At 34.8% G+C, this 24,127-nt stretch overlaps 1 long non-coding RNA gene across 3 annotated transcripts in view; it reads right to left on the bottom strand.

Moving 5' to 3' along the window:
- Positions 1-380: 380 nt before the first annotated feature.
- Positions 381-24,127, bottom strand: part of LOC105370462 (uncharacterized) — a 72,153-nt gene continuing 48,406 nt past the window's right edge. For 2 of the 3 annotated variants that reach the window (XR_007064129.1, XR_943785.3), the window contains exons 2-3: positions 19,317-19,374; positions 2,964-4,643 (exon numbers count right to left, since the gene is read on the bottom strand). This is a non-coding gene — a long non-coding RNA (uncharacterized LOC105370462). Of the gene's footprint in view, positions 643-2,963; positions 4,644-19,316; positions 19,375-24,127 lie in introns of those variants that run through there. The other variant, XR_943784.3, reaches the window with a different exon arrangement.

Below are 24,127 nucleotides of genomic sequence, written 5' to 3'. Positions count from 1 at the left end.
GTTTTAAAACCAAAAAAGAATACAAAAACAATTTAAATAATGTAGAAAAAAGACATATTAAATATTAGAAAATTTTAAATAAAATAATGTCATAATCCAGCTGAGAACTTTGAGATATTGTATAACAAATATTCAGTGGTTAGTCCTGAACTATCACTGAGTTTTTAGCATTGTCACTATTATACTACTCAATTCAACAATGCAAGTTATCCCTGCACTATGTTTGCCAAGATAATAAAGGCTACCCATCCCACCTACATAAGTTAGGAAGAGTAAAGAAAACAGCACATATTTTACATCATTTGTTTCTATTTAATCACAAAGAAGAAGGAAGAATGACAGAAGCAAGCTGAAAACAACTTGATTTCACAAGACAGCTATAACAATATCATATTAGGTAAGCGTAAATATAAAGTGATGGTATAAGTTATTCTGTGTACTTATCTACTCAGCCAGTTCAACAAAAAGAGACACATCAATCCCCAACAGTTTTTCTGATGGCACAGTAACCACTTTTTAAATCATTTGCTCAATAGGTAGGAGTTGTTGGATAGGGATGGATTTTGCTTGTCTGCTTGAGATCTTGCACCAATATCTCCTCCTCACAGAAATACAGTGAGATGCTAACCTGAGTCTCAGCTTCTGGAAGCAGAAATAGAGGGTCGGGAAGAACAAAGCTTAGTTACAATTAGTGAAATCTCTCTCTTCGTTCTTGTGGAAATATTCTTTCCCCTAAACTTCTGGACATTATTATTTGCATGAACTTTTAGTAACAGGCAAAATAGAAAACCAACATTCCCCATTGTATGCATTTTTTAAAAAGCATAATATGAAATTGTTCCTAAACTACTACAATAATAACAAATAGCTAATATTTATTTACTATGAATGTTTTCAGTGCCAAGTCTTTGACCAGGGCTTTCCCACCTAATCCTCACAATAGCAGTAGTTAAATGATTAACTATATTTCCCATCATATAAAAACTGAAAATCAAGGTTGAAACAGTGCCTAATGCCACACAACTAGTAACTGATAAATCTGAGTTTCAAATACAGTCATTCCAGCTCTCAAGCTATTTCTATTTGGAAATCTAACTTTTGAAAGTATAATGTAAAACTTTATCTTAATTATGATATTGTAATTATATCTATGAAATCATTGAACTTTACTATGTGTGGGACAATATGATAAATGCTTTACACAGATTGTCTTATTTAATTATTAAACAAAGCTGTGATGTCATTGTCACCATTTTATGGATGAAGTAACTGAATGAACACTTTGAAAAGTGAATGACCCAAACACAAACAAGTGAAATTAGTTGATGCTCATTAAATCAGTTGAAGCACCTAATGAAGAACAAGAGAATCCCCTTTTCTAAGAAGAGTGAAGAAAATGCAGTGGGAAGGTGAGGAGTCTGACCTATGCAGGGAAAATCAGGAGAAAGGCAAGAGCCTAGAAAATGGCAAGGATAAATTTTGTCTCATGACATGTCAAAACATGACAATTTTGTCTTACTCCAGCCTGTGCCTGGTGCCTGGTAATGCCAAATGCCTTTAGCACCGATTAGATTACTAGCCAATGTTCTATTCTTTTTTTTTTTTGAGACAGGGGCTGTCTCTGTCACCTAAGCTGGAGTGCAGTAGTGCAATCACGGCTCACTGCAGGCCTGAGCGATCCTCCTACCTCACCTCCCTAGTAGATGGGACCACAGGCACACACCACTACATCTGGCTAACTTTTTAATTTTTTTGTTGAGACGAGGTCTTACTTTGTTGACCCAGCTGGTCTTGAACTCCTGGGCTCAAGCCATCCTCCTGCCTCAGCCTCCCAAAGAGCTGGGATTACAGGCCTGAGCCATTACACAGGCCCAGCCTATGCTCTATTCTATGAGTTACTGAAGATCATTGATATCCAAACACGTTTCTTTTTCTGTTTTAAAAGAAAAAGCACAGTGGCTTTTTATTAAGCTGTGTTGAGGGGATCCAGAGTTCATGTGTAATCCTTTATTATTTCTGAGGGCTAATAACATATTTTCTAAAAGATAACATTTATGAGAGGTATTTGAATATGAATGACACATATTATCTATAGCACTCTGTTATTGCTGCCTGTGTTCAGTCAACAAATATAACATATTTCTTAAGATACAATGAATTCTCACTTCAAAATAATAACTAGCATCTGAAATGGACTTTTCTAACCCTATGATAACCCTTTGACATGTGTAGCATTATTATCAAACTTTTATAAATGAGGCAGTGGTATCTGAGAGTAACTTGCTCGGTATTAGAAAAATATTAAGTGGCAAAGCAAGGACTTGCGCCCTTTTCTTAGAAGACCCCATGCTTTATGCATGGCATGATCCAGCTCACTGCAGAGAGGAGAGGTTGGACTCAAACAAATAAATGCTGAACTCTCTGTCACAGTACATGTCCAAATGCAGGCAGAAAAACTCCCTGGCAGAGAGCTGTATGGACTGTAGCTGTAGATGAATTCAATAGTTTCTAAAATGTCTTTGTGAATCATAACTATCTCAGTGTCAGCTAAATGTTCTGTGTCTTTGTGACTCTTGTGTCATGAGATTGAAAACTCAATTGTAATGCATCTTTATGTAAAAAAAAAAAAAAAAAAAAAAAAGTGGTTTGGCCGGGCACGGTGGCTCACGCCTGTAATCCCAGCACTTTGGGAAGCCGAGGCAGGCGGATCACGAGGTCAGGAGATCGAGACCATCCTGGCTAACATGGTGAAACCCCCGTCTCTACTAAAAAATACAAAAAATTAGCCTGGCATGGTGGCGGGCGCCTGTAGTCCCAGCTACTCGGGAGGCTGAGGCAGGAGAATGGCGTAAACCTGGGAGGCGGAGCTTGCAGTGAGCCGAAATCGCGCCACTGCACTCCAGCCTGGGCGACAGAGCGAGACTCCGTTTTGGAAAAAAAAAAAAAAAAAAAGTGGTTTACATTATGCTATCACATTTTAGAGTTTTTAATGAACTTTTACATTCACAATGCCATTTTGTTTTTGCCACAACCCTGTGCAGTAGAGAAGACAACTGTTTCAATTTTTTCATAATAAAGTAATAACAATCCCTGCAAGGAGGGGAGTGACTTGGCCAGATTTCCATAATTAAAATCCATAGAATTGAGTTAGGCTTTAGGTCTTTCCTCTGTATTTTCTGCCTGTGTGATTTGTACCTGCTACATTCACCTTTCCCTCGCTTACTTTTGCCAGGAATAGAAGAAAAATGTCTTTAAAAGCTACATTTCCCTCTACATGTCCAGCGTCTATTAAGTGTCATTTTGTTATCTCTAATTTTTTACATGCTCTAAAGCAGAAAAATGCAAACATTAGCTAGGTAATGAACTGTTTTATCTCTGTTGCTATATAGTCTATGTTCTATTTGCCTCCTTTTAAATTTGCTGCTTCAGTGCTTTGTGGAGAAACCTGGTCTTAATCTATAAGAGCAGGCTGCCAGCATTTAGTTGGAAAACAATTTGCTTCAGCCTTTGCATGGCTAGTGTTTTATTTCTGAAATGGTATTGATGTAACACTTATACCATGTTGATAACTCAACTGCACTGACAAGAGAAGTTAACCAAGGAAAGAAAGGACAGCCAAGAGTGTTGGAGGCACGGCTGTCTAATCAGGTGCTATGACAGAACAAGCTGGAAGCTTTGCAGAATGGAAGGCTCTATAGAGAAGCAGCTTGCATAGGATGGGGGAACATCTGTAGCTCTGTGGCCTTTATCGCCTTTGATATATTGCCATATTCTCCTATACACTCTGTGATATGCCCCTTGGGGTTAAAAAGACATAAGGGCCCTAGATAGGGGCAAAGCTATTTCTATATTATTGAAACTTTCTTTCTCTCAGAGGAGAAAATCTGTTTACTTTATTGTTCCAAGAAAGGACATAAACACACATGAACACAACCTGATTCTTACCTCCTCACGGCACACATAAGCTTCTAATCCTCTTAGCTCTACCCACTTCTTTCAATATACCTATATGCCAGCTCTACGGTGTGGTGCAATGCCATTCTAAGTTAATGAGGGGCAAAGAGTCTCCCCGCTTTTTTTTTACACAAATGAAATCACCATTAAGCACTCAAAATTGTAATTTAGCAGATGCCTGGAAACTGCAGTTGGTAATAAAGGTAAACATATGGGCAGTTGCCTCCAGGGATGTAAAGCTTCAGATGCTGTGGGGAGCCTTGAAAGCAGAACAAATGCTGTGCACAGTAGAGAGACCCTGAGTTGTCCCAGGCTCATGTTGAGTCATGCTTTTCTGAGGCTGTTATGTTTCCTGTAGTTTAATATTTTACCAACAAATAACCTTATGGACAGGACAGCAGCAGAGCCTAAGATAAATAAAAAGAAGAAACATTAAAGCTAAGTAGAAGTATGTGCCATTTTGAATACTTTAAACAAAGCAAACCAGAAAACCCAACTCTAAAAGGCTAATAAATGAGGACAGGCATTATTTCACTGAATTGGAAATTCAGAAGTAGAACAGTCTCCAAAAGCACAGCAATCAGTGGCATCATTCTGTCTCTCTGCTCTGACTGCCGCAGCACCAGCTTTGTCCCAAGGCTTCAGAATCTCCTTCCAGCTCCTCCTCTTCCATGGTGGCAATATAATCTCTGTGGCAATCAGCGAATAAAATAAAGCAAAAAAAATGTGTCATCCTCACTGAAGAGCAAAGCATTGCTTAACTGTAGACAACTTCATTTGCAATTAGTTAATTCAAAGGAACATAGAAAACAATAGGTTCCTACCATGGCCTTGCAGGTGGGAAAATAAGTTTTGGAGGACATTTACTCTGTGCAAGCACATTACTTACAGTTCATTAATTAAAATTTTTAGTAACTTAGCAAAATACATATTATTAACCCAGATGATATAGATGAGACAACTGAGGTAAAAAATAGAATTAATAACTGGTCACAGATATAATAGCACCATGAGAAACATTTTCAATCTCAATAGTTTGGATGGAATTAATCAAACACTACAAAGAAAAGAAACCTATTCTTGTCTTTAAAAAAGATTCATTTAATTAAGGCTACCAAAGACCCCTTATTGGTATATACAAGTTAGGAAAAAAAGATAGGTTTTTAGTAATGAGCCAAACTCAAGGAGGGATAATTTAAGCTGGGAACTAAAGAATGGGTGGGATTAGGATTGGCAGATATAGAATGAAGGGCACCTGAAGGTACACATTAGCTCAATCAAAGTCACCAAGTGAGAAAGTAGAGATCAGGTTTTGTAAATGAATAGTAATCTGGTCTGTTAAAATACAGGACAATTACAATGAGCCAGACATTTCTTATGCTTTACTTCTAGTCTATCAACTCTTACTTTGGTAACAACTGCAGCAACTAGCTCCATGTACTTTTAGCCATCAGAGGACAGCCTCTTATAAGTGTAAATCAAATATGCCTGCCAAGGTATCTACTGTGAGCCTCTTTCTTTCTGTTTGTGGCTTCTTAGAGATATGGGAATGGAATAACTGCAGGAACCCTAAATACACAGAAGCCCTTGGCACACAGATGCTTACAACACAGAGGTATAGAAGAGTTAACCAGTACAGCAATCCTTCAATTAAGCACTAAAGATGATGACTAAATGCTTATCCTATTCATTCTTCCAGTTCATGGATTTTAGCTACATGCTATAAAGTTTCTCATGATTATAGAACTCCTATAATCATGTGGTCATGATCTCCAACTCTAATCTGCTTTCTGCTTTCATCCTATTTCAGAATTTACGTATTTATTTCTCCTACTAATTGTTTGAGACATAACAGTTTTTAAATATTTTGGAAAGAATAAAAAAAGCAAAAGCAAGAAAAATGGTGATGTCATTTAGAGAATAGAAATAAGCTAGAGGAATATTGAAGAGAAAATAATGGGTTTGTTTATAGACTTACTAAGTTTAAAATGTGAGAAGTTTATTCAAATAAAGCTGATAATGCAAATGCAGATTTCTATTCATACTAGAATTTAAGAGAGAAACAAATATGTGACAGTATCACTGAAAAACAGGTGATGTGATAACACAGCATCTAATCATTAGTAGAAGATTATATAGAGAGAAGGCCCCCAAAATCTGAAATAAGGCAAATAATCCTCAGAGTATTGAGAAGATCTAGAACTGCATTACATTGGTTTTCAAGAGGGAGACAGTAATCAACAGGTACAAATGTTAAATAAAATCAAATACAGAAGGATTACAAATATCTTCTAATTAAAGATTAAAATGACTCTAATGATGCAAGAGTACAATTTAAGTGATAGAAAAATTACTTATATTACAAAATTTTACAGAGTTAGACAAAAATAAGAAAGTAGAACTATATAAATACTGGTCTTTTAAAAGTTTATCACTGAATGCATAGAAATATGGCAAATCAAGGGACAGCAGTTTTGTGACTCTAGAAAACAAGCCTGTTTGACATCTGATATGGTTTGACTGTGTCCACACCCAAATCTCATCTTGAATTGTAGTTTCCATAATCCCCTCTGTCTTGGGAGGGACCTGGTGGGAGGTAATTGAATCATGGGAGCTATTACTCTTATGCTATTCTCATGATATTGAATGAGTTCTCATGAGATCTGATGGTTTCATAAGGGGCTTTTCCCCCTTTTTCTCAGCACTTCTCCTTCCTGCCATCATGTGAAAAAGGATGTGTTTTCTTCTCCTTTCCCCACAATTGTAAGTTTCCCAAGGCCTCCCCAGCTATGTGTAACTGTGAAGCCATTAAACTTCTTTCTTTTATAAATTACCCAGTCTCAGACAATTCTTTATAGCAACATGAGAATGGACTAATAATACATCAAAGGAGAAAGATTTAAAATAAATGAAAAAAAATCACAGATTCAAGCAACAGACAAAGCTAACATTAGGCTATGTTCCAAAATGAACTGGATGATGAGTAGCTCTCAACACAGAAATGGGTATGGAAGGTCAAACATGAGAAAGTCCTGCAGATAAAAAGAGTAGAAAAAGGGACAAAATATGTAAGCAAATTGTTTATTGGGAAAAGAAAATACAAATGGTTTTTAATCATATTCAAAGTTATAAAGCCTAAATTATATGAGAAAGGAAAATGCAATGTGCATTGAAATACCAAATATCCATTATTGGCATGCAAAGATCAAAATATAAAATGTGAAGGAAAACAGGTACCTTCATATGCCTCACATATTATAAATCATATTCTTCATGGTTGTAAATTGTAATGTATTATATACTTTAAAATAATATTTGGAAATATTTTAACAGTAATTCTCCTTTTAATAATCCATCTTAAATATACACCATCATAAACACTCAAATTATATATATCTATATCTACCATATATATTTACATAGAGAGAGTAGTTTATTGAACATTGCTTGTAGTAGCAAATACATAGAAAATTAATAAATCAGTTATGGCACAACTATGCTAAGTATTCCATGGCAGCTCTTACAAAAATTTATTAATAGGGCATGACTACCAAGAGACATTATTGAATGAAAGCAATTCCAGATGTATGAAATGTGCTATTTTTCACAGAGATGCATTTGTGTATATAAACCAATGAGCCTAAAATATCCCTGAAAGAACATGCAGTCTGCCTACATTTTTCTATGTTGATGGAATTTGGAGAAAAGGCTTAGTTTCACCATACGCCCTTTTGTACTCTTGGAATTATAACCACATAATATCAATTAAGTTTTGCACTGGATAGAAATTATAACGAGAGGCCACAATGTGTTTGTTTCCTGTTGGTTGGTTGGTTGGCTGATTTTTAAAGCACAGACTTTAAGGAAATGAAAAGTTATTGACAAAAGGATCTAAGAATGCAGAAAACACTGAGCTCGCCTTTAACATCTTATTGTAAAGATTACAAAGAAATGTAAGGAATACTTATAAGACCAAAAAAATTAAGGAAGCTAAAAAATACAAATTAAAGATACTATAGCTATGAACATTAATCCAGTTTAAGTACTAGTTCATTTTTGACAGATACTTATTCATTCTAATTGTTGTCTTTTAAAATTTTTTTCAAAATCACTTACAATTTACCATACTCACTTTTATCTTTCTTTCTTTCTTTCTTTTTTTTTTTTTTTGAGACCAAGTCTCTCACTGTCGCCCTGGCTGGAGTGCAGTGGCGTGATCTTGGCTCAGTGCATCCTCTGCCTCCCAGTTCAACCGATTCTCCTGCCTCAACCTCCTGAGTAGCTGGGATTGCAGGCGCCTGCCACCACGCCTGGCTAATTTTCAGTATTTTTAGTAGAGACGGGGTTTCACTATGTTGGCCAGGCTGGTCTCGAACTCCTGACCTCGTGATCCACCTGCCTCGGCCTCCCAAAGTGCTGCGATTATAGGCATGAGCCACCACGCCCGGCCCCTATAGTCACTATTTTCTACAACAAATCTCTTAAAGATATTCCTCCTATCTAACTGAAATTTTGTATCCTTTAACCATCTCCCAGCCCCGGTTAAGGACGATTCTATCCTCTACTCCTCTAAGTTTGACTTATTTAGATTCCACATATAATTGAGATCATGCAGTGTTTGTCTTTCCGTGCATGGCTTACTTTACTTAACATAATGTTCTCTAGCTTCATCCATGTTATCTCAAATGACAGAATTTCATTCCTTTTTAAGGCTAATTCATATTGCATTGTGTATCTGTACCACATTTTCTTTATTTATTCATCAATTTATGGACACTTTGACTGATTGATTCCATATATTGGCTATTGTGAATAATGCTGCAACAAGCATAGGAGTGAAGATATCTTTCAAAATACTGATTTTATTTCCTTTGGATAAACAGTAGTGAAATCGCTGAATCACATGGCAGTTTCATTATTAATATTTTGAAAAGCCTCCAGATTTTCATAATGGCTGTACTAGTTTACATCGCCACCAACAATGTGCAAGGGTTCCCTTTTCTCCACATCTTTACAAAAACTTTTAACTTTTTGATAAAAGCCAGTCTGCTAGGTGTGAGGTGATATTTCATTGTGGTTTTAATTTGCATTTCTTTGATGATAAGTGATATTGAGTATTTTTTCATATACCTAACAAATTTGTATGTATTGTATTCGGTGCATATATATTTAGGATAGTTAGCTCTTCTTGTTGAATTGATCCCTTTACCATTATGTAATGGCCTTCTTTGTCTCTTGATCTTTGCTGGTTTAAAGTCTGTTTTATCAGAGACTAGGATTGCAACCCCTGCCTTTTTTTGTTTTCCATTTGCTTGGTAGATCTTCCTCCATCCTTTTATTTTGAGCCTATGTGTGTCTCTGCATGTGAGATGGGTTTCCTGAATACAGCACACTGATGGGTCTTAACTCTTTATCCAATTTGCCAGTCTGTGTCTTTTAATTGTAGCATTTAGTCCATTTACATTTAAAGTTAATATTGTTATGTGTGAATTTGATCCTGTCATTATGATGATAGCTGGTTATTTTGCTCATTAGTTGATGCAATTTCTTCCTAGTCTCGATGGTCTTTACATTTTGGCATGATTTTGCAGTGGCTGGTACCGGTTGTTCCTTTCCATGTTTAGTGCTTCCTTCAGGAGCTCTTTTAGGACAGGCCTGGTGGTGACAAAATCTCTCAGCATTTGCTTGTCTGTAAAGTATTTTATTTCTCCTTCACTTATGAAGCTTAGTTTGGCTGGATATGAAGTTCTGGGTTGAAAATTCTTTTCTTTAAGAATGTTGAATATTGGCCCCCACTCTCTTCTGGCTTGTAGAGTTTCTGCCGAGAGATCCCCTGTTAGTCTGATGGGCTTCCCTTTGTGGGTAACCCGACCTTTCTCTCTGGCTGCCCTTAACATTTTTTCCTTCATTTCAACTTTGGTGAATCTGACAATTATGTGTCTTGGAGTTGCTCTTCTCGAGGAGTATCTTTGTGGCGTTCTCTGTATTTCCTGAATCTGAATGTTGGCCTGCCTTGCTAGATTGGGGAAGTTCTCCTGGATAATATCCTGCAGAGTGTTTTCCAACTTGGTTCCATTCTCCCCGTCACTTTCAGGTACACCAATCAGACGTAGATTTCGTCTTTTCGCATAGTCCCATATTTCTTGGAGGCTTTGCTCATTTCTTTTTATTCTTTTTTCTCTAAACTTCCCTTCTCCCTTCATTTCATTCATTTCATCTTCCATCACTGATACCCTTTCTCCAGTTGATCGCTTTGGCTCCTGAGGCTTCTGCATTCTTCACGTAGTTCTCGAGCCTTGGTTTTCAGCTCCATCAGCTCCTTTAAGCACTTCTCTGTATTGGTTATTCTAGTTATACATTCTTCTAAATTTTTTTCAAAGTTTTCAACTTCTTTGCCTTTGGTTTGAATTTCCTCCGGTAGCTCGGAGTAGTTTGATCGTCTGAAGCCTTCTTCTCTCTGCTCGTCAAAGTCATTCTCCGTCCAGCTTTGTTCCGTTGCTGGTGAGGAACTGCGTTCCTTTGGAGGAGGAGAGGCGCTCTGCTTTTTAGAGTTTCCAGTTTATCTGCTCTGTTTTTTCCCCATCTTTGTGGTTGTATCTACTTTTGGTCTTTGATGATGGTGATGTACAGATGGGTTTTTGGTGTGGATGTCCTTTCTGTTTGTTAGTTTTCCTTCTAACAGACAAGACCCTCAGCTGCAGGTCTGTTGGAGATTCATAAAGCAAGTCCTGAGTGACCTACAAAGAGACTTAGACTCCCACACAATAATAATGGGAGACTTTAACACCCCACTGTCAACATTAGACAGATCAACAAGACAGAAAGTTAACAAGGATACTCAAGAATTGAACTCAGCTCTGCACCAAGCAGACCTAATAGACATCTACAGAACTCTCCACCCCAAATCAACAGAATATACATTTTTTTCAGCACCACACCACACCTATTCCAAAATTGACCACATACTGGGAAGTAAAGCTCTCCTCAGCAAATGTAAAAGAACAGAAATTATAACAAACTCTCTTTCAGACCACAGTGCAATCAAACTAGAACTCAGGATTAAGAAACTCACTCAAAACCGCTCAACTACATGGAAAGTGAACAACCTGCTCCTGAATGACTACTAGGTACATAACAAAATGAAGGCAGAAATAAACATGTTCTTTGAAACCAACGAAAACAAAAACACAACATACCAGAATCTCTGGGACACACTCAAAGCAGTGTGTAGAGGGAAATTTATAGCACTAAATGCCCACAAGAGAAAGCAGGAAAGATCCAAAATTGACACCCTACCATCACAATTAAAAGAACTAGAAAAGCAAGAGCAAACACATTCAAAAGCTAGCAGAAGGCAAGAAATAACTAAAATCAGAGCAGAACTCAAGGAAATAGAGACACAAAAAACCCTTCAAAAAATTAATGAATCCAGGAGCTGGTTTTTTGAAAGGCTCAGCAAAATTGATAGACTGCTAGCAAGACTATGAAAGAAAAAAAGAGAGAAGAATCAAATAGACACAATAAAAAATGATAAAGGGGATATCACCACTGATCCCACAGAAATACAAACTACCATCAGAGAATTCTACAAACACCTCTACGCAAATAAACTAGAAAATCTAGAAGAAATGGATAAATTCCTCGACACATACACCCTCCCAAGACTAAACCAGGAAGAAGTTGAATCTCTGAATAGACCAATAACAGGATCTGAAATTGTGGCAATAATCAATAGCTTACCAACCAAAAAGAGTCCAGGACCAGATGGATTCACAGCCAAATTCTACCAGAGGTACAAGGAGGAACTGGTACCATTCCTTCTGAAACTATTTCAAACAATAGAAAAAGAGGGAATCCTCCCTCACTCATTTTATGAGGCCAGCATCATCCTGATACCAAAGCCGGGCAGAGACACAACCAAAAAAGAGAATTTTAGACCAATATCCTTGATGAACATTGATGCAAAAATCCTCAATAAAATACTGGCAAACCGAATCCAGCAGCACAACAAAAAGCTTATCCACCATGATCAAGTGGGCTTCAACTCTGGGATTCAAGGCTGGTTCAATATATGCAAATCAATAAATGTAATCCAGCATATAAACAGAGCCAAAGACAAAAACCACATGATTATCTCAATAGAAGCAGAAAAGGCCTTTGACAAAATTCAACAGCCCTTCATGCTAAAAACTCTCAATAAATTAGGTATTGATGGGATGTATCTCAAAATAATAAGAGCTATCTATGACAAACCCACAGCCAATATCATACTGAATGGGCAAAAACTGGAAGCATTCCCTTTGAAAACTGGCACAAGACAGGGATGCCCTCTCTCACCACTCCTATTCAACATAGTGTTGGAAGTTCTGGCCAGGGCAATTAGGCAGAAGGAAATAAAGGGTATTCAATTAGGAAAAGAGGAAGTCAAAGTGTCCCTGTTTGCAGACGACATGATTGTATATCTAGAAAATCCCATTGTCTCAGCCCAAAATCTCCTTAAGCTGATAAGCAACTTCAGCAAAGTCTCAGGATACAAAATCAATGTACAAAAATCACAAGCATTCTTATACACCAATAACAGACAGAGAGCCAAATCATGAGTGAACTCCCATTCACAATTGCTTCAAAGAGAATAAAATACTTAGGAATCCAACTTAAAAGGGACGTGAAGGAACTCTTCAAGGAGAACTACAAACCACTGCTCAATGAAATAAAAGAGGATACAAACAAATGGAAGAACATTCCATGCTCATGGGTAGGAAGAATCAATATCATGAAAATGGCCATACTGCCCAAGGTAATTTATAGATTCAATGCCATCCCCATCAAGCTGCCGATGACTTTCTTCACAGAATTGGAAAAAACTACTTTAAAGTTCATATGGAACCAAAAAAGAGCCCGCATCGCCAAGTCAATCCTAAGCCAAAAGAACAAAGCTGGAGGCATCACGCTACCTGCCTTCAAACTATACTACAAGCCTACAGTAAACAAAACAGCACGGTACTGGTATGAAAACAGAGATATAGATCAACAGAACAGAACAGAGCCCTCCGAAATAACGCTGTATATCTACAACTATCTGATCTTTGACAAACCTGAGAAAAACAAGCAATGGGGAAAGGATTCCCTGTTTAATAAATGGTGCTGGGAAAACTGGCTAGCCATATGTAGAAAGCTGAAACTGGATCCCTTCCTTACACCTTACACAAAAATTAATTCAAGATGGATTAAAGACTTAAATGTTAGACCTAAAACCATAAAAACCCTAGAAGAAAACCTAGGCATTACCATTCAGGACATAGGCATGGGCAAGGACTTCATGTCTAAAACACCAAAAGCAATGGCAACAAAAGCCGAAATGGACAAATGGGATCTAATTAAACTAAAGAGCTTCTGCACAGCAAAAGAAACTACCATCAGAGTGAACAGGCAACGCAAAAAATGGGAGAAAATTTTCGCAATCTACTCATCTGACAAAGGGCTAATATCCAGAATCTACAATGAACTCAAACAAATTTACAAGAAAAAAACAAATAACCCCATCAAAAAGTGGGCAAAGTATATGAACAGACACTTCTCAAAAGAAGATACTTATGCAGCGAAAAAACACATGAAAAAATGTTCATCATCACTGGCCATCAGAGAAATGCAAATCAAAACCACAATGAGATACCATCTCACACCAGTTAGAATGACAATCATTAAAAAGTCAGGAAACAACAGGTGCTGGAGAGGATGTGGAGAAATAGGAACACTTTTACACTGTTGGTGGGACCGTAAACTAGTTCAACCATTGTGGAAGTCAGTGTGGCAATTCCTCAGGGATCTAGAACTAGAAATACCATTTGACCCAGCCATCCCATTACTGGGTGTATACCCAAAGGACTATAAAATAGACTTTTTTCAAAAGAATACATACAAATGGCCAACAAATATATTTTAAAAAATGCTCAACATCACAAATTATCAGGGAAATGCAAATTAAAACCACATTAAAATATAACCTGACACATGTTACAATGGCTATTATCAAAAAGGCAAAAGATAAGAGTTCGAGAGCATATGGAGGAAAGAGAACCCTTGTGCACTATTGGTGGGAATGTAAATTAATACAGCCATTATGGAAAATAATGTGAAGGTTACCAGAAAACTAAAAATGGAATAACCACATGATCCAGTAATCCCACTTCTGGGTATATATCCAAAGTAATTGAAATCAGTATACCAAAGAAATATCTGCATTCCCATATTCATTCCAACATTATTCACAACCACTAAGATATGAAAGCATCCTAGATGTTCTTCATCGGAAGAATGGTTTAATAATAAATGTGATATATATATACACAATAGAATACTTTTTAACCTTACAAAAGGATGATATACTGTCTTTTGTGACAATGTGAAAAAACCTGGAGGACTCCTAAGCATTATGCTAAGTGAAATAAACCAGGCACAGAAAGAGAAATACTGTTGGTCTCACTTATAGGTGGAATCTAAAAAAATTGAACCCATAGAAGAGAATAAAATGATGATTACAAGAGGTGAGGGAGTTGGATGGAGAAAGAGGAGATGCTGATCAAACGGTAAGAGGTTTGAGTTAGACAGGAGGAATAAGCTTTAGTAATCTATTGAATAGAGTGGTGACTATAATAAATAATAATGGATTATAATTTCAAAATTGCTAAAAGAATATACTTTAAATGTTTTCAACACAAAAATATGATAAGTATGTGAGGTGATAGATTTGTTAAATAACCTGATTTAATCATTCCACATTGTGAACATAGATCAAAACATCACATTATACCCTATAATTATATAAAATTATTGTCAATTAAAAATAAAATTTAAACATTTTAAAATAAAAAATATTAATTTTGTCTGGCTTTGAACTTCATACAAGTGGAATCACACAATATATACTATTTTATGTTTTCATGTTTTAAAAAATTTGACCAAAATCATATATATTTATCACATACACATGCTATTTTGAAATATGTACACATTGTGGAATGGCTAACTCAAGCTAATTAAATATTTATTACTTCATTTACTTATTTTGTACAGTGAAAACACTTAAAATCTGGTGGTTTTCTAGAATATAACGCATTGTTATTAACTGTATTAATTACCTTGTAGAATAAGTTAATTTAGCTTATTCCTTCTATCTAATTGAAATGTTATCTCTTTTAACAAACATCTCCACAATCCCTCAACACCCACCGCCCCCACCCAGCAAGCCCCTAGTAACCACCATTCTTCTCTCTGCTTCTATGAGTTCAACTATTTTAGGTTCCACTTATAGGTGAGATCATGTGGTATTTGTCTTTTTGTGCTTGGTTTATTTGCCTTATTATAATGTCCTCCAGGTTCATCCATGTTGTTTGTTTTAAATAACAGCATTTCCTTAAAAAAAAAAAAAAGAAGCATACTGTGTTGTGTATATATACCATGCTTTTGTATCTTGTGTTTGCATCTTTTGCAAACATGGTATTTTTGAGATTCATTCATTGTTATTTTCCTCATAGCTACAGTATACTTATTCTATGAATATATCACAATTTATTTTACAATTGATGAAAACGTGAATGGGTTCCAATGTGCAGCTATTACAAATCAAGCTGCCACAAACATTCTTGTATATGTGTTACGTGATATGTGTATACACTTTTGTAGCTATGTATATTTAGGGATGAAATGTTTTAGTACTAAGATATGCGTAGTTTTAGAAAATACAATTTTCCAAACAGGTAGAATCAGTTTACATCATTGCAACTTTGTAGGATTTTGCTCATTTATAGTATTACCACTAGTGTATGAGATTTCCCATTGCTTCACATTTTGTTAATATTCACCATTCCCTGTTTTAATTTTTAATATATCTATTCATTATGTCCAGGTTTTTGCCATTCATTTGTGTGTGTAATGATGTTTCACTGTGGCATTTTCATGATGACTAAGGAGGTTGAATACATCTTCATATATTTATTAACTATTAATATCTAATATTCATAAAGTATCTTTTGAATTCTTTTGCTCACTTCTATTGGATTATTTGTTTTTACTTTGATTTATAACTTTGTGTATTCTAAGCCCTTTACTGGTTATGTGCCTTGGAAATATATTTCCTGTTATATGGATTATATAGAATGTTATTTAGCTATTAAAAGGAGAAAATCCTGCCATTTGTGACATGAGTGAAGCTTGAGGGCATTATGCTAAGAGATATAAGTCAGACAGAAAAAAACAAATACAGTATGATCTCACTTACATGTGGAATCAAAAAAGGTCAAACTCAGAAGCACAGTAGAAGGGCAGTTTCCAGAGGTTGGAGAGTGAGAGAAATGGGGAGATACTAGTCAAACGGTATAAACTTTCAGTTACAAGATAATAGGTTCTTGAAATGAAATTTACACATGGTGACCATAGTTAACAATACTGTGTTGTCCAACTACTTGGGAGGCTGAGGCAGGAGAATGACGTGAACCCGGGAGGCGGAGCTTGCAATGAGCCGAGATCGCGCCACCGCACTCCAGCTTGGGCGACAGAACGAGACTCTGTCTCAAAATAATAATGATAATAATAATAATAATACTGTATTGTACAATTGAACTTTACTAAAAACAGAGTTGGTGGTCTCATAAAAAAAGTATGTGAGGAGATGGATGTGTTAACTAACTTGACTGTGGTAATCATTTAAACAATATGTATGTATATCAGAAATCATATACACCTTAAATATAATTTTGTCAATTAAACTCAATAAAGTTGGAAAAATTTTAAATTTAAAATAAAATTTTATATAATAAAAAAGAATATTTTCTTATTCAATGTTTATGAAAACATTCTCCCATAAGCTATATGCTTTTAAGCAAATCATTAAAAATGGCCAACATTGAAAACTATTTGGTAATTTTTTTTCTTTCTTCCTTTGTGTGCTTTTCAGTATAATTTTCAAAACTACCATCTTTCCCATTATTTTATGTCTATAAACTTTCACATAGAAACTGATTGTATAGCAGATATTTTTATTGAATTTAGTTATTTTTTCTCAAGCTATCAGTAGAAAATAAAATTTTATTACTTTGCTTTTAAATGAATTTTGATGGCTCTATGTGAATTTCTAAAATCTGAATTTTTAAACATAGCTTAAATAATACAAGCATTCTAATTTTTTTAATTTGAGAACACAACCATTAGGAATTATTTGCCTTTTTCGGGATATTATTTCGTGATACAATTGCTTAATTTTCATTATGACATTATCACTCAGTCTTTTAAAATTAGAATTATTGCCATTATAAATGATAGGTAGGCATTACCATTTAAACAAAATTCTAGTTGGTAATAATATGGCAAAACAAATTTATGATTGGTGAAATGAACTGTAACCACACATATGTAATTTATTTTTTAAACATCCAAGCAATGATATAAATTACTAGGTAATGTTGATCACTGTGACAGAACTGAAACTAATTACCTGAAAAATGGTGAAATAAATATTAGGAATGTGAGTGGCAGACAAAATTCTTATGAACAGTTACTAAATCCAAATGTTTTCTTAATTCATCATGTTAATCATGCATTGGCTCTCAGAACTCAGAGTACGTAAGAAGCCCTGGGGAGCTGGTTAAAAATACAGATTTCCAAGTTCCCACTTAATGATTCTAGTTCCAGAGGCCTAATGCTGGATCTCGAAATCTGAATATTATCTGGGGCCTCAGAAGATAATACTGATACAGACAGTATAAAAGCCACTCAGGGTAAAGCTTGTTCTGGGTAAATCTGTAAAATAAAAGAATTCTATCACCAACATCCTTGTGGTTCCCATATCTCTCTTGCTCACCATTTCTAATACTTATTTGTAGCACTTGCAGACTAACCAGCCCCAGGCTGAGCAAGCTGTTGCAGCTGGGTGATCTCCCAGTCAAGAATGACCATCAGAATGTATCTCTAATGAAACAACCTGCACAAATTTCTCCAAAATTGTATTATTAATTAAAAGTTTTGATAAAAATGCATTACACTAAACTGTTAATAGCCGATACATTTATTGGTGTTTTACTGTCTTCCCAAAGCTATTTCTATGTTTACAGAAATGAATAATAATTATTACTTAACAATTTAGTAATGCAATTTCAGACTTTCTGGCAACCTGTCAGAGAGAACTGTGGATAGAGGAAGAAATGGTAAATGACAAGACTGTCATATTTTCTTGGTGTAGTGTGTGCACGTTTGTGTGTTTGTATGTGTTTTTACTTGAATATGTCCTATAGTAGTAGAAAGTTCAGCTTTGTACATTACTGGGCCTGGTCTTTGTAATGGTGAATGGCTTAGGATTGGTGTCTAATAAATATCCCTGAAGTAACTAAGAGGAAAACAAACTTTAAAAGTATGAGTTTATAGGTTATGTAAGAGGAGTAAGTGAAGGCAATTTTTTGAGGATATCAAAAATAAGGAACAAAGAATAGATTGAAGTCCCTGAGAGAACAGAACACTCTGAAGGCAACAGATAAAATTGCAAGCTGGAGAGGGAAATTTCAAGTCCATACAAAACTTTTTATCTCCATGAAATCAAAAGCAGTTATCTGCTAAAATTGAACAAGTATAGGTATAGTCTTAGAATTGAGGCACCTGGTCAAATAGACCATATTCAACTATATGCTCCATGGGTGGAGAAGTCCCCCTTTCTTTCTTTTTTATTGTTTTTTTTTTTTTTTGGTTGATTGTGTTTTGTTTATTTGTGGTTTCTTTCTGTATTTATACCCAAGACAATTTGAATTTCCTGGTGATTTTAATCTAGTTTTATGGTAAATATATAGTGGTGTCCATCTGTGAGTCTATAATTGTCTACATTGTGTTGTGCAACCTAAAATATGAATAGATGTTGTGGATTGTAGTATTGCTTTCTAATGCTAGATTTAGAGAACTGATGAAATAAAATGAAAAGGCAACAAAAGAAATAAATTTTGATGTCCATGTGAATAAAGCTTAAAGAGAAAGAAGTAAAAATGGGGGTAGTTTGATGAGAGAGAATAGGTAAGAATTACGTAATTTAAAATCTTGATTAAGTCAACTTGAAGTAAGAGTAAAGAAAATGATGGAGGTTGTAGGTGGAAATGTGGCATTTGTCATAGTTTCCCAGTAGAGTTATTCTGGTCATTTCCATGGAGATAGGGTGCTCAAGTCAAGTGTATTGTGAGGAAGTGATTTAGAGGTCAGGGGTATCCTACTGACTAGGAGAAGGAAAGAAAACTATAGCTGAACACTTGAGTCTAAATGGGAGTATGGATCTAATGACAATGGAAGAATGATGAAAGAGATGTGCAGTGGAGAAGAAAGAGAATACTGACCTCTAACTCTTTTTATTCACAACGAGGTTCCCATTCAAGTTCCAGGAAGAATTATATCCTTAAAGAAAATACAAATTTTAATTGAGAACAGAGATTAAGAAGACATTTTATGAAAAAAATTTTGGGTCAGAATGAAGTGACAATCCAGCCCTCTGCCTCATATCCTTGCTACCAACCAGAAATGCTGGTTTACATATTCAAAAACATCATGGGTACCTGGGCTGAAGAATGAAAGACTCTCAAAAACCTAAACAAAGAGGTAACGCAAAACCAAGATAGGCAAGCTGACTCTGTCAGATCTATTTCCACTTGCCTGGGAATAAAAATTATAGTATCTTGAGAATGCAGGAAATGGAGCAACAGGTTAGTCAGCACCATGAGAAAATGCTCATGTAAGATACTTTATGAGGACATTGGCCCGGTGCCTCCAAAAATATCAATGACATAAAAAGAGCATGAAGACTCTTCTAGATTAAAAGAGAGAGAGAGACAGAGAGAGAGAGAAATAATAACCAACTGCAGTGATCTTGTAAGAAAAACAAAATCTCCAAAACAATATTTATGGACAATCATAGAAATTTCAATATAAGCAAGATAGTAAAGAAATATCTGTAAATTTCTTTTAAAAAATCACAAAATATGGCAATTGTTGAACATAGGTAGTGCATATAAGACTTCATTATACTATTATTTCCATTTTCCTGTTTAATAACTTTCCAAATAAAAATTGTTGACACAAGCAAAAAATGGTATAAATAATGGTATTAACAATTAACTATTATTAGATAAATTTTTATTTATAAATAATTAGCTAGAAAAAATTTTCTTAAACTTCTGTCACAAGAGACTAATTCTGGTATACATCATCATTTTATTAACAAGGTAACTGCCTTTTAGCTGTTACAATAAATAATTGTTAATATTTAACATGTGGAAAATAGAAAGTACTGGAAGAATATGAAAATTATGGGACTTATTTTTTGCAACTATGTGTTTATACCAAGCAATATTTTTGTTTGATTTCAAAGCAAACCTTAAACTTTTTCACCTTTCTACTTGAATCTGGTTCCTGATACAACCACTCTGCTTTAATTGAAATCATCAATTATCATTTCCTTTGGAAAGTTCTAACTCTCCCAAATGTATTGACTCTTCACCCAAATTATTTAAGTGAGTCTTTTGCTTCAGGATTACTAAATTATTCAAATTTCATATTCAAAGTCTATTATTTTAACCAGAGTGTAGCCTATACAATCCATACGATATGATTTCAGGTAATAACCCTTTTCAGAGTATCTATTAAGAATTACTATATCCAATAGTCATTCAATAAATTATTTTCCTTCAAAAAGGTTTCATTTTATACCAATAGATAATTTTTTCCTTTACTTATTAAATGATTATTGTGATATTAATTTTATAACATTTTTTAAGTAACAGATCCAACTAAATTTTTACTGTCTTTATAATCATGTGGCTTATTTGAAAATGAAATGACAACTAATTCTTTCTGACAATCATAGTTTAAATTGAACTAATGAGTAGAGAAAATATGTGTAGGCCTAGATAATACTTAAGTATATGCTACTTCAGTTTTAGGCTATATTATGACGTGACAACAAATATTTTAAAAAATAAAAAATTATATTCAGTTTGCACTTGTTCTCATACACTAATATCATATATTTATTTGACTAGATCAGTGAAGATTGTAGACCAGTGCTATCCAGTAGAACTTTCTGAAATGTTGGAAATGTTCTATAGCTCTGCTTTTTCATTTAGTGTTGCTATAGATTGCTTGAAATATGGCTAGTCTGACTGAAAGCTGAGTTTTCCATCTTAATTAATGAAATCATAAATTTAAGTAGGCATATGTGGCTATTGGTTGCCACATTATACAGTGCAGCATAGACAGTAAAGGCTACAGACATAAGAAATGGTCTCTATTTATTGACACAATCTTTCTTTCTTGATAAACTTACATATTTATGATACTATAAAATGTATAACTTATAAGAATGACATATGTCTTAGAGTAATAATAACACTAGTAATAATAGCAAACCATTTTATTCACTTACTTCATACTATGCACTAGTATACCAACTCCTTTAACCCTCACAGCAACTCTTTAAGACTGGCACTATAATTTTCCTTATTTTAAAGGTATATTGATACACTTTGCACCTGGGTTTTGTCACACAGCTAGTGAATAGCAGAAACATGATTTGAACTAAGACAACACAGCTCCAGAATTTTTAAGTTGTCTTGAGGTAGAAATATTTCTTCTCGATCTGGCTATATTCACTTATAAAATATGGAGAAAGAGATGTACAATTATTTGATGTATCTTGTGCCTGGTTCTTTGAGATTAATTTAAATCAATTTGAAAAGCTTTATTTTTAAAATGACAATCAAGAGTATTCTGTATCTCCTCTTTCCTGAGGTCTCATGGGAATGGCAGAAATATATAGATATGCACATACACATACACACCCATACACATAAGAGTATGTATGTTTTGATACATATATAACAAAACCATAATAGTATTGAAAAAAGGGAAGCCTGACAATAGCAAATCCAAAACTTAAATAAAGATTTGGATTAGTGGAGTGTAATAACAGAAGCAACCACAGTCTGATATAATTTCTTTTCAGTAAACCCTAGAAGATGTTTCAAGGTCATAGTCAACATGTTCAAGAGAAATTGCATATTACTGAACAAATAGGAAGATAAATAATTGAAGAACTGAGCATAGAAAAATTGAGTCCATCAGACCATTTCCTCTTTCAACTGCCCACTCCAGGATACAGATAATTGCTTTCTAGGGAGTAAGAAATCTGACTTTGAAGAGTTCCTATTTGGGCAAAAGGCAGAAATGAATAGAATGAAGGAATAAAAGAAAAGATAGCTCTACCCAAGAGTAGAAAATTAAATATCTCTGTGGTCAAAGTAAATAATGCTTTGGTCACACAGCTAGTGAATAGTAGAAACATGATTTGAACTAAGACAACAAGCAAAAGTAAAAGCAAATTAAAGAATGTGTTTACTTTGGCAGCAGTGTACGTGTGTGTTTGCCAGGGTTTGCGGGAGGGAGATCTACCTATAGGCATCCTATCCAAATGCCTGAAAGGGAATCCAACCAGTTAACATTCTCTGTTCACTTATGCAAATCTGAAGTAGGCCATTTAAGTAAAGGATTAGATCTAACTCAAGAGAAATCAATACTAATTTTTATAGATGTAACAGTACCAACTACCTCAATTAATCAATATAGTTACCTGATTATTTAAAAAAAAGAAAGAAAAACTGGAAAGGACTAATATAAACAATCAGAACTCCCAGAGATAAGAAAGATAAATGAACTTTAATTCATTCAATACTCATGTCAGAGATATTTAAGTGGATAATGCATCCACAAAATCAGTGCAGATTACTAAGAAAAATAGCAATCAGAAAACAAAACAATGTAAGAAATTAATATAATAACTGAAATAAAATAATTAAATGGTTACATATAAGAAACTGTTGGCAATACAAGAATATCAAAGATTTCTAACAGAACACAGAGCATAAATGTAAAAATATAAGAGAAAAGCTAATATTTATGAAGTTCAACATTGAGTCATAAAGTCCAACACTGATTCACTGAGTCCAACATCTGCCTAAGGGTAGTTCCAGCAAACTGAGGGAGGATTTAAGAGAAGTTCTCAAAGCTGGAAAAAAGATTGAATTGAAAGAGCACATATACACCAAGCAGCACAAATGACCAGAAAGCCACTCTCAAATTAAATGTTATAAAATTTCAATTCCAATCATTAAGAGAAGACTGAACATTTTTAATGAGAAAAACAAAATTTCCTACAAGAGAACAAAATTCAGATTAACATTGGACTTCTATTTGGCAGAACTGAATGCAAGTTCTGAAAGAAAATTATACTGAAATAAGATTTTTTTTGCCTGAGAAATCTTTCTATAACGTTTGAAAGCAAAATAAAAGTTAAAATACATTTGGATTTGTATAACATCTAAATTACTCAGAAGACATTTTTTTTTTCATGGAAAAGGAGCCCAAGATTAAGAACCTAGAATCAAAACAATTAAGTATAAATTTGAGTTGGTATTGACAGCGAAATCCTGATACTGGAAAGATCCTTCTTAACTAAAAATATTTACATACTTACAATTTTCACTTTATTTACTGATTCTCAATTTTATCATCAACTGCCGTGGTTTGAATGTATGTGTCCCTCCCAAATTCATATGCAGGAACTTAAACCCCAATGTAACAGCATTAAGAGATGGGGCCTTTAGGACATGATTAGATCATGAGAGCAGAGCCTTCATAAATAGGATTAGTGCCCTGAAAAAGGGGGCTTGAGAGAACTAGCGAGGCCCTTTTGCCCTTCCATCTCTTTCACCATGTGAGGACACAGCAACAAGTCACCACCTTAGAAGCAAGGACCAGGCCCCATCAGACATCAAACCTGCTAGGGCTTTGCGCTTAGACTTCCCAACCTCTAGAACTGTGAGAAATTTTTGCTGTTTATAAGTAATCCAGTCTAAGATGTCTTATCACAGCAGCACGAATGGGCTACAACACCAACTAAAAACAAAATACAGGCTAAATAATGTTTGCTAGAAAATACCAAAGTACTACATTGAATCATGGCCTAAAATCTGTTTTAAAATATTACACATAACTAGAATATGTAAAAGTGATACAACTAAAATACTGTCGAAGAGACAGTGGGAAGGATATAAAAGAAAGAGTAAGTCAATCAAAGAACCCTTTAAGGGAAAAAAAG

The sequence above is a fragment of the Homo sapiens genome, chromosome 14, assembly GCF_000001405.40.
Source record: "Homo sapiens chromosome 14, GRCh38.p14 Primary Assembly".
Lineage (NCBI taxonomy): Eukaryota > Metazoa > Chordata > Mammalia > Primates > Hominidae > Homo > Homo sapiens.
The sequence above is the reverse complement of the archived record's forward strand: the minus strand, read 5'-3'. Positions and strand labels throughout refer to the sequence as shown.